The sequence below is a fragment of the Homo sapiens genome, chromosome X (assembly GCF_000001405.40).
Source record: "Homo sapiens chromosome X, GRCh38.p14 Primary Assembly".
NCBI classification, from domain to species: Eukaryota; Metazoa; Chordata; class Mammalia; order Primates; family Hominidae; genus Homo; species Homo sapiens.
In genome coordinates this window covers 42,454,823-42,467,285 of record NC_000023.11, presented here as the reverse complement: position 1 = coordinate 42,467,285, position 12,463 = coordinate 42,454,823, and the positions used below count along the sequence as shown (strand labels likewise).

General features: G+C 37.6%; 1 annotated feature.

The window, feature by feature from the left end:
* Window positions 84-584: an enhancer, noted in NCBI's record as "H3K27ac hESC enhancer chrX:42325954-42326454 (GRCh37/hg19 assembly coordinates)". NCBI's record gives its function as "activates a minimal SCP1, AML or CMV promoter by ChIP-STARR-seq in primed H9 embryonic stem cells {active_cell/tissue: H9 hESC(primed)}" and the evidence as "EXISTENCE:reporter gene assay evidence [ECO:0000049][PMID:30033119]".

Below are 12,463 nucleotides of genomic sequence, written 5' to 3'. Positions count from 1 at the left end.
AAATAATACATGCTGCCTTTGGAAAACATTTGCTCAATGTGTGCCTTAATACACCCACAATTTAATCCCCATTAGCAGGGGCAATTTTCTTTTTTAAAAAATACCATAGTAAAGTGCTGAAGGATAGAAAGTACAACTGAAGAAAAACCAAAGAGGCAAAAAAAATTGCAGAGGAAATGGCACTCAATAAGAAGCTTGAGAAGTGGTAACATAAAATAGTGACAATTAAGGTTGATTGCATGATTCTGGGTTTGGGAAGGAAGTCAGAAAGAGTCCATTGGAAATCCTGGGAGTGTGTGAATAGGAGGCCCCCCAGATGGCAGGAAGAGTGAGAAGAGGGCAAAGCTAAGCAGTGCTTTGGATGTGGATCTGAGCCAGGTGAGTCACCTAAGAGAGGCTAGAGCTGTGACTGAGTACGAAGGCCTCAGGTCAGGGGAGAACAGTGTTCCCAACTAGAGGTAGCCAGTGAACTAATTCCCTTGGGCATTTATCTGGGAGCTGTAATGGATGCTTGAAGATTATTTTCCCCACATTAGCTATTAAGGAGACTTGACTCTCAATGAGAGGCATCATAGGGTACATTAATTGCCTTGCTAATGGCCTGACCTCTTTGACAATGTCACATATACAGTTCTTTTCCCTGATTGGCTTCGAAGCGCCCCAGCAATAATTGCATATTGTTTCTCTTACATTGTTGCTAGAAAGGAAGGAAAGGAGGGAGGGAGGAAAGAGATGAGAGGTGGAAACAGCAAGCTATAATTCATTCTTGGAAATTACTAGAGACCATGTATAAGCCAAGGTTGGTACCCTGGAAATTACCCAGCAAGATAAAGACATCCTGCCTAGTTCCCAGGGCAGTGTGTGTGTGTGTGTGTGTGTGTGTGTGTGTACTCTGAATCACCTGTCATCTTCAGTCTGAACTAGCGAATTCAAAATGATCCAGGAGTTGGAACCCATATCTAGTTTGTGGCAAAACCTCTTTGAATCCTTGCTGAAAAAATCATGGGGGAGGCGATAAAAATCCACCAGCTATCATTAGTCATTGAAGGAAAATAATTATTTCATCCAGCCTTTCTAGGTAATTAACATTATGAGATCATCTAAGAGCCCACAGTGTGAAATGGGTACAAAGTAACATGGAGAACTGATCCCAGCTCTTTAAGTGCTTTATTTCAACATAGACTTTGATACACAGAAAAGAAACCAAATAGGGTGTCTTTCATTATTTGGATATTTTTAAATTTTCCATCTGGAAACTATTTCTGAGAGTAATAAAATTCCAATGTTTGCTGAAAACATCTAACTTTGATAATTTCCAAGTTTTCATGGACTTTAAACTGCTTAGTCCTTGCAGACAGGTTTGTATATCTGGTTTGAGAAGCCCTATGCATCCAGAACATGATATACTAAACAAACAAACAAATAAGTAAGTAAATCTCCCCACGTGAGCATGAAGTGCACTGAGTAATTCTGGAAACGGATCTTCTTTGAATCTAGTGTCCTAGTCTAGCACGCAGAATTCTTATAGGTTCAATTAGTATGGAATAAGCTATAGCCTGAAGTAGCCTAATTTAGTAAAAGGATTCCTTATTCCTTGTACTAGAAAAAAAATTAATGGTAAAAATGTAATAATTAAGATGTTTTTAAAAAATGCTTTAACAGTCCAACAACCTTTAACATAACAGAATAAATAAGAAATACATTTGGGGTGAATGAATCATTTTCTTCCATATAATTTCCTATATTTAAAATAAGGGGCACGAGCCACAACATTTCTAAGTTCCTTCCTGATGGTAAAGGGCCAAGATCTCCAAGTCTGTGTATGAATACAAATTGACCTCCTGCCTGCATCTGGGGTTCCTCTGAATCTGGCATCCCACCCCTACCACCATCTCAATCCATTTTGCCTTAACTCACACAGCTTACCAGGAATCACTCAACTTTACCTGCACTAATCTTCTCACTGGGACATGCTTGGAAAGGCCAGGCCCCAACCCATTTTTAAGCCTCAGCCAGGCTGTGTCCCTCATTTGGAATGTCAACCCTAGATTACCCAAATCTCACTTTTTCCTTAAGGCACAGCTCACTGTCCACCTTTTTAATGAAAATTTCCCTGACTAAGATGAGCCCTTGACTCTTTCACATCTCTGAGCTATTGTTTGTAAGATCTACAGTGTGATTCTATACAGTCCAATATGTATTGTGGATGTTTCATTTAGTTTAAGAGCTTGGGCTATAGAACTCTGTTGCCTAGGTTTCCATGTTATCTATACCACGTATTTATTTACTCTAGGACCCTGGGTAGCTTGTTAACCTCAGTTAATCTCTCTATACCTCAGTTTCATCACCGATAAACTGAGGATAACAATAATATGTACTTCAGAAGTTCTGCGCCATGCAAACATTTCTAGCCAAACCATTTCCAGTAAATCCTTTGAGGATGTTTCAGGAAATATGTTCAGTGTTATACAACATCAGCATAATACAATTTTGGTCTATTTTAAAATTTTTATTATTTTAATATAGTTATGTTCATAAAATGGGAAAAATATAAACAAATAATTGATAATCTCACCTCCCAGATAAAATCATTGTTTTAAAATGTTGCATTTATTATTGCAGATATCTTTCCACAAATTGTGGTAGTTTTAAAATATGTCCACAAAGTTTTTGACACTCCTCTCTTCAAAAGGTAGAACCTAATTCCCTTCCCACTGAGAGTGGGTCAGATGTAATGACTGGCTTCTAGCTAATAGAATGTGACAGATGTGACGGTGTGTGATTTCTGAAACTAGGTCATAAAAAGTATTGCAGTTTTCTATTGCTTCTTCCCACCCCTACCCCCCACCCCTTTCCTCCTGCTCTCTCTCCCACTTTGTCTCATCACTCTTTCTAGGGGAAGCCAATTGCCATATGGGGACATTCAAGCAGCTCAATGGAGTAGCCCATATGTTGGAGAACTGTTGCCTACTGCCAACAGCCATGTGAGTGAGCCATCTTGGAAGCAGATCCTGCAGCCCCAGTCAAGTCCTCAGAGACTTCAGACCTAGCCAAAATTCTGACTCTAACCACACAAGAGACCCTGAGCTGGAACCACTCAGCTAAGCTGTTCCCAAATTCCAGACACATGGAAAGTATGAGATAATAAATTGTTGTTTTAAGCCATAAAGTTTTGGCATAATTTGTTAAGTAGCAATAAATAACAAATATATACATTATATATGTGTGTGTGTATATATATAGTATATATATGTATGTAGGTATATATATATATACACACACACATACACATTCTGTATATATTTAAATACATTCTTCAGTTTTGATTGATAATAATATACAATAAACCTGTTTCCATATGTATTTTCAGTGCTATTATTTTAAGAGAGTTGGGAAGTGCACGCAGCCCCGGCCAGAAAAATAAAACAAAAAACTACATCATATGTCTGCTGGAGTAAAAAATTCCTCTAACGGGATAAAATCTATATCCTATAGTTTGAAACGAGGCTTGAAATGAAACCATTGCTACCATTCCCAGAAGGAGAAAACCAATTGTAATTGATATGTTGATGGCCAATGTCCATTCTCTTCCTAGTGATGGGCTTTGCTACAGGAGGAGGGCCAGGATAGGAGTGAGATAGACATACGGACAGACAATGGGACATATCCACAGGTAGTCCGAGGTATGGTGCAAAGGAATTAAATGAGGGAAGTTTTGGACTAAAGGTATAGAAACCTTGAAGGTTGATTAACTGTCCTAGAAGGAGAAGACAATTCCAGGGGCCACAGGTGGAGCCCTGGGTGTGTTTCCATACACAGATAGAGAGAAGAGAAGGAGAGATCATCAAGGGAAGCACAGAAGTTGTCAACAAGGATAGGGGACACTGGAGCAGATGAGGCCATGAGAGCCAGAGTATCAGGAAAGGGAAAATGTGCATGGTTTCAAGTCTCAGAGGCCATTGAAAGAAAAAACAAAAACAAAAACAAGGACCATTGGATTTTACAAGAAGGTCATTTAATCACACCAAGTACCAACTGGGTTCATCAAAAAGGGTAAGAACCAAATTAATGCTTATGTCTGGTTTGGTTTGGGGTTTTCTTGGCTTTCTTCTAACCAGCCTCAGTGGGAAACCCCAGCAAGTTACCTCTGCCTCTCTAGGCTGGGTTAGGTGCCACCTTCCTAGGAGTTACCACAGCACCCTGTGTTCTCTTGCCTCATAACATTAATCACAGACTATATATAGTAATCCCATGTTTACCCATCTTTCCAGCTCTAGAAATATAAGCTTTTTGAGGGAAGGCAGTGTTTTACTTTCAGCTGTATCTCTAGGACCTAGCACATTGCCTGCCACATTACACAAGCTCAGACAATCTTTGATGAATGAATGAGTGAGTACTGTGGAATAGAAGGAAAGAGGGAAGACCTTTGTTGAGAGGTATGCCCGTGAAAGAAGGGAAGTAGTGGACCAGTAGTTAGCAGGAACATCAAGGTCAAGTGAAGGGATGACCTTTTAAAGGAGGGCTGCTTTGAACACGGTCCTAAAAGTATTTAAGATGAAAACTAAAGATGTATCCAACATGACGTTTTAGATTCAGTATTAAGACAAAATCTGCATTAGTCTTGGTCCTGGGAAGGCAAAAACAAAAAACAACTAAACACCTATATCATTTCTGGTCATTTGTGAACAATCAATGATCACGTCATGATGCATATTACCCTCATATTTAGTAAACATAACATTTGTGAGATGAACAAGACATGTCACCCTGATTAATTGATATTATCAGAATGTTCACATTCAAATTCTAATGGAAACTTAGAGGTAGATATTCTAATGTAGCATGGAACAAAAAATCTCCTTATGGGCTTTGTACATGGAAATTCTTTCAAACCGTTGAAGTATGAATGCATATTTATCTTTGCAAAAGTTAAATGCTACTACAATTAATGGTGATGTGAAAGCTGTTAATTTTATATTCAAAAACAACTATTAAGAACTTCCAAGTAGTTAAATAAGTAGAGATGTAGATTGACAGTTTATACATACTGAGTATTAGTTGATAAGTTTAAAAAGAACATTAATTCCTTTCTAAGCCAACTAGTATTCTATAAAAACTTAAATTCAGTAACAATACAAGGGCAAACAACAGAGATTAGACTACATCACACATCTATTTTTTGGGAGATTATTTTCATTATAATCATATGAAATACGATTATAATGATATGAATAATCATGATTATTCATATCATTCATAATATGAAACAAGATAACTTGTAAGACTGTTTCTGAAAATTTAAGAAAGCATCTTCCCCAAGCAATGCACAGAGCTTCATTTGGGGAGGATTGCTTCAGTTAAAGTGCATCACCATGAACCAGTGTTCAAGTCCAAGAGATGAGGAGGAAATATCCTTAACCTTACTTGGTTACTAGGAGAGAGAAAGAAAGGCTCACTAATGTGGTGGCAGCCTTAGCCCCAGCAGAATCCTACTTGACAAAACAAGCCTCAAAAAATCTTGTTTATCCACCAACCTCATTTGAAAGTGAGCATCCATTTGGTATCACACTTGTACAGTACAGTGACCACACAAACAATCCAGCAGATGACAGTACCTGAGAAAATATTGTCCCTGGTTTATAATGTCAATCTCATGAAAGGTGACTACTAGATTTTTAATAATAAATATTTTGATATATTTTCAGATGTATCCTTATGACCTAGAAGGTCATTTTATGAGGGTTATTTTCCACTTTGGCCTTGGCTTTGACCAAATATGAATTTTGACACTGGCCTTTTAGCATTTGGCCAAAATGCATATTTGGCATATTGTAATAAAGACCATAGGATTTGATGAGTAATAGATAATCCTTGCAATGTTTAAAAGAGACCTGTGCTTCCAAATTTGAAAGGGGAGGACTCTTGAGAGGGTTTGGTTCTCCCAGAGGAGAGCTGGGGTTGATGGGAGGATGGACCTACCTTCTTTACCCTAACTAAGAAAACAGGATAAGTGAGACGAGGCCTCCCTTTCAGATAACTTGGGGTAGGGCATGGGGTGGGTGCATTATGATAGGGAGGCACATTTTGTATCCTCAACATGCCAAGCAGGTGCTGAGAAGAGGCACAAAAGAGAACTCTGGCACCACAGTAACAAACCCCTGTCTTAGCTGGGGATCCAGACATCTAGGCCTTCCTCATCCCAGTTTTCATTTGAGAGCAAATGCCCATCAGCATGAGAATTGGGGATGTCTGGGTATCTGCTGACAGATGCGGAAATTATTAAACATAGTAGTGGAGGTGCTGTGGGGCTGCAGGAATCAGAATCCCTGGGGTCACCAAGTTGCCAGATTGAACTGGCACTGAGCACCCGGGGCCCGCCCTCACTGCCACTTGGCAGACTGTCTGTCTTGCTCAGTGTGGGGCTCAGCTGTTCAGACCCCTAATTGCTTACCAGCTGCTTAATCCTTCCTATTGTTCACAGAGAGATTTGAAACAGAATAAAATTCACCTTCCAGTTGCATAGCAAGTCTAAATCGTTCTCCACAATTCTTAAATTTATCTGGGCACTTATTGAATACCTAACAGGAAAAAATTGGCATCCAAAAGAGTCCGTGGCATTTCCATAGAACAAGATGGTTAGGAGTATGAAATATAGATCTAGCAGAGTTTGCAGTACTGATTCTTTCAGCTCCTTGACCTTAGGCAAGTTATTAAATCTTCCTGAGTCCTACTTTTCCTCATCTGTAAAATGAGATTAAAACTCTGACAGGACCAATGACTTCAAAATACCCACTTTTTTCGGCTTTCAAGTCTCCTCAACCTCCTGGCTATTCATCTGGCCTCATCAATTTTATTAAGATCTATGAATTATTATCCTGATAGAAAAGATTTAAAGTTGAGGAGGGAGGTCAATTTGGGCATAAGCTCTGTTCATCCTAGATTCAGTGTTCAAGAAGTCTGCTGGTGCCTGTTAGCAGAGCAGACTATGGAGCTAACAGGAGAAACTAGCTCCAAAAAGAAAGCAAAGGCCAACCAGTTGAACTTAAGTCTAAAGAGCCAGTGGACTTACAGAATCACCAACAATTTGATCACAAATATTTTAGTTACATTTTACTGTATTCAGTGATGGAAAGTGTGCATCATCATAGTATTTACAAATTTGGAGATTTGTGAGGGTTTAGGGAAGTATCTCTTTCAAATATCAAAGGCTTAATGTGTTATCTTATAGATCCTTTTTATTCTTTTAAACAATATTTAAGTTGGCTCCCAAACTCTGGGGTATCAGGATACATATATAATCTACTAAAGCCAACTAAAATCCAGAGCAAATAATGAGTTATTTGCTTAGGCTTTCTGGCAGGGGGTGTTTCCATTAGGTTATATTAGAAGAGCATCTACCTGAGCAGGGGAATTTATTTATGTATTCAATAAATATTTGGTTAGGGCTTCCTGTCAGTACAAGTACTAAGTAAATAGTGTACTTAGGCAGAGGGGGTCACAAAGGCAGCAAGATATGAGCCCTGCTTTCAGGTTATTTGTACTTTAGTTTGACTAAAAATGAAAATAATAATTTTTATCTCCATGACATTTTACAATTTTCAGAGTTTTAACACCAATTTTCAGTTCACACTCAAAGATTCCTATAAGCATTAACTCCATTTTATTTTTATTTTTTATTTTTACTTTTTTGTTTTTTTTTTTGACACTGAGTCTCACTCTGTTGCCCAGGCTTGAGTGCAGTGGCACGATCTCGGTTCACTGCAACCTTTGCCTCCTGGGTTCAAGCAATTCTCGTGTCTCAGCCTTCTGAGTGGCTGGGATTACAGTCGTGCACCACCACTCCTGGCTAATTTTTGTATTTTTAGTAGAGACGGGGTTTCACCATGTTGGCCAGGCTGGTCTCGAACTCCTGACCTCAAGTGATCTGCCTGCCTTGGCCTCCTAAAGTGCTGGGATTACAGGCATAAGTCACTGCACCCAGCCTATTAACTCCATTTTAAAGATGAGGAAACTGAGTTTCCAAGGAGTGAAGATATTTTTTGAAGGGCATGAAGTTAGTACATAATCACAATTCAAACCCAGGTTTCTTGACTCTAGATCTAATGTTCTCATTCACCATGGCTGCATCTTGAAAAAGAGACTCTATACCTTTGCTAAGTCAAGGTGGGAGGAAAGGAGTAGAACATTTTTTTGATGGATTTTCCTATGAAGCCCTATAGTCCATTTGGCCCTGGCAAAAACACCATGGAGAGTGCATGGAAAATGAAGACTTGTTTCTCACCTTCTGAAGGCTTTCAAATTAAGTTGATGTTAAGAAGCACGTGGGGGAAGAAACACAACGAGATTCTCCTTGTCCTTATGGAGTTTACACTGTCTGTCTGGTTCAGCAACATGTGTTCCAGGACAACCATAGGGTCTGGGACACAGTAGGTCTAGGTACTCAGTAAAAATATGTTGCATAACCACTATGGAAAACAGTATGGAGATTCCTTAAAGAACTAAAAGAACTACCATTTGATCCAGCAATCCCACTACTGGGTATCTACCCAAAGGAAAAGAAATCATTATATATAAAAGACACAAGCACTTGCATGCTTATAGCAGCACAATTTGCAGTTGCAAAAATAGAGAACCAACCTAAGTGCCCATCAACCAACAAGGGGTTAAAGAAAATGTGGTATATATACACCATGGAATACTACTCAGCCATAAAAAGGAATGAAATAACGTCTTTTGCAGCCACTTGGGTGGAGCTGGAGGACATTATTCTAAGTGAAGTAACTCAGGAATGGAAAACCAAAATTCTTATGTTCTCACTTGTAAGTGGGAGCTAAGCTATGAGGATGCAAAGGCATAAGAATAATATAATGGGCTCTGGGGACTTGAGGGGAAAGGTGGAAGGGGGGTTAGGGATAAAAGACTACATATTGGGTACAGTGTACACTGCTCAGGTAATAGGTGCACCAAAATCCCAGAAATCACCACTAAAGAACTCATCCATGTAACCAAAAGCCACCTGTACCCCAATAAAACTATTGAAATAAAAAATGAAATTAAAAAATATGTTGCATAAATAAAAGACAGATGAATGGGAGCAAATACACTTTAGTATATACTATAACTTCAAATGTGATAAAGAAGGAATCACAAAGCAATAGGAATTAGATGTTCTATTTAATGCATAGGGTTTGGAAAATTAACTATGTATTTGGAGAAATGAATGTTAGATCTCTGTCTCATAATATAATCTCGTACTGTCAAGTAAATTCCAGACAAATCAGAGTCAAATGTTAAGAACAAAACCATTTTTTTTGCAAAAGGCAGAAACTATAAGTGACAACTTCATTGATTTCTGACTGAAAAGGGATTACTAAGTATAAAAATAATGTAAGAAATTATAACCTAAGCAGCTAAAAATACGACTACATAAAAAGAAGACTTGATTCTTGGCGTAAAGCATTAGAACTTTTGTATATCCAAGGACACCATGAATGTTATATAATGAATTAGGAAAATATTAAAAATAAATAAGAAAAGCAAATATTAGTCCCTTAAGATATTTAAAAATACGTTAAAAAGCATGCAAAAAATCCTTTAAGATATAAAACGCCAATAACCCAACAAGAAAAACATAAACACATTAGGAATAATCATCAAAGGGCATAAAAAACTAATTCATAGAATAAAAATTTTTTAAAAATCCAGAAAAATTCAACCTCCCTGTTAATCAAAGAAAAATAAAAGAACAATGATTTTTTTTACCCTTTACATTTGTAAAAATTAAAGTTATAATGCTCAGGACTGCCAAAGGCATGATGAAATAGGCTTCTCATAAACTGATAGTAGAAATTAAAATGACATAAGCTTTCTAGAAGGCAATTTGGCCATGGTTATCAAAATATTTTTAATGTATATAAACTTTGAATCACTGATTCAGCTTCCATAAAATTATCCTAAAATAATCAAAGATGCAAAAAGATGTATATACAACAAAGTTCACCATGGCCTTCTTGATAATAGTGAATAAGTATAAACAAAATAAATGCTCAACACTAGAGAACTGTTAGGCAAATTATTCATAAGATAGAATGTTATGCAGTCATCAAAAATCAAGTTTTAGATGAATATTTATTGAAATATGAAATATTTGACATGCCCATAAAAGGTTTTTAAAAAGCAAACTACAAAAGAGTATTATAAAATGATGCTATTATATTGAGAGAGAAGAAAGGAAAGAAAGAGAAAGGAGAGGAGAAAAGGAGGGAAGGAGAGAGGAAAAGAGGAGGGGAAAAAATGGAATGGCAAGCTCTGTTGAAATTTTGTTTTATATCTTAGGAACACAGGGATTTATTATTTGTTGTTTTGTTTTTGCTTTCCTATGTTTTAACAAATTTTCTACATTTTTGTAATGGAAATATTATTTATTTGAGTCTGAAAAGACTACCCAGAAATCTCTGGGCAATAGGATTACAAATATTTTTCATTTTCTTCTTCTCATACAAGAATATTTACAGCATACAAAACTACTTCTTGTATTTTTCAATATTTTTATAGAAAGTCTTACCCGTGGAAGAGATCTGATTTACCCAGTGTTACCGATGGCCTGTCCTTAGGGGTCTGTAGCAACTTCAGTCCTTGCCTCCTCAGAAGAAATAATTCGACTGAGGGACAAAATCAGAAAAAGAGACAGAGACAAGTTCCACAGCAGGAATAGAAGTTTATTTTAAAAGGCCTTAGAACAGGAAAGAAAGTCAGGTGCGCTTGGAAGAGACCCAAGCGTGCACGTGAAAGGTTAAAGAGCGGACAAGTGCCCCATTTAACTGTGATCCTGGGACTTTCATAAGCTCGCCTCTTTACCATGATTCTTCCCTTACAGTGGGCTGCCCTCATGCACAGAGCCCTCCTTACCCTTGAGAAGTGAGCTCATGCAGTGTGTTTAGGGAGTTACAGGCATGCCCATCTGAGGCTTTCTTCCTTTTTCCAGTGGAATGTACCTGGAAGGATCATACTTCGCCATTTTTGTCTCTTAATATGCATGCCCAAGAAGCTGTTTCTCCCTGGCGTCTGCATTCAGTTAACAGTTTTAATTAATAATTAACAGGTGTGGACCATCAGTCTCTCCCTGGCTGCCGAATTATCATTTTAAGAGAGGCAATGCGATAATTGCCAAATCATCACCTGACTTTTCTAGTGGGTGGGGGGAGAGCCCTCTCCTGCCCCACCCACGCCTAACTACCTGTAACAAAAGCATGAATTATTTATATTGAAAGAAAAGAGTGCTTTTTTTTTTTTACACAAAAAGATATGGGTATCTTTTATATGTGACATTTTCAACATGAACCGCATAGTATTTGCATAATACTATGAAATATATTTTTAATAATGAAGATCTGGTCTGAATAATCTAGAATAGATGAAGTGTTCAAAATGGATACAAATTTGGCAGTGAGTCCCAGGTATCAAATATCCTTTCAGTCCTTCCCACAAGGAAACTGACAGAAATGAAGACTTATTCCCCTTATTTTCTTCTCAGCTTCTATGGCAGCCGGTGGGATGGGGAAGGTTTAACTGCAAGCATGTCCTTGCGCTAAGAATTTGAGGGAGTAAGGAACAATAGCTGGGGCGTGGCTGGGTGGAGAGGTCTTAAGAATAGTATTCACAGGGTCGGAACACATTTTTTCAAGATCTTACAAGTGAAAAACGTTTCTGTAAATAATCTGTTTATTTCACCTCTGTTTGCAATTTAAATAATACTGAACAATTTTTCAATAAATAACACTAAAAAATCACAATGGTTGACATTTATTGATGCTTGCTCTATGCCAAGCACTGTATTAAATCATGGCCATACATTATTTCTTTTAATATGAACAGCAGCCCTACGAGGCAGGAACTTTTTAAATCTTCACCTGACAGACTACAAGAGGCAAGGCCTAGAGAGGTTGGGTAACTTGTCCAAGTTCCTAGTAAGTAGTAGAGCCAAATTTAAGACCAGGTTTATCTGAATTTCAGCTCCAAGTATTTAATTATACACTGCCTAACATATCTGCCAAAGCTAAACAATACCCAACAAAAATGCATTCATATGGTCACCGAAAAATACATGCTAACTAGAAGGTTAAATAGCAGTATTATTCTTAAAAGTCAAAAACTAGAAACCACCCAAATGCACAACAGCAATTGAACAGATAAATTCTGGTATATTTACACAATGGAATGCTATACAGCAATGTAAATGAATTATCTACAACTACGTGCAACACATGGATGAATATCACAAACATAATGTTGAGCAAAAGAAGTCAGACCCAATGGATGCTATAATTCAATTTGTTCAAAATATGCAATAAATAGTCAAAATAAATCTATTATTTCAAAATCAGGATAGTGGTTACTCTTTGATATTGAGGATGTGGCAGGTGAAGCCTGGACAGGTTTCTGGGTGCTGGTAATGTTCTGTTTC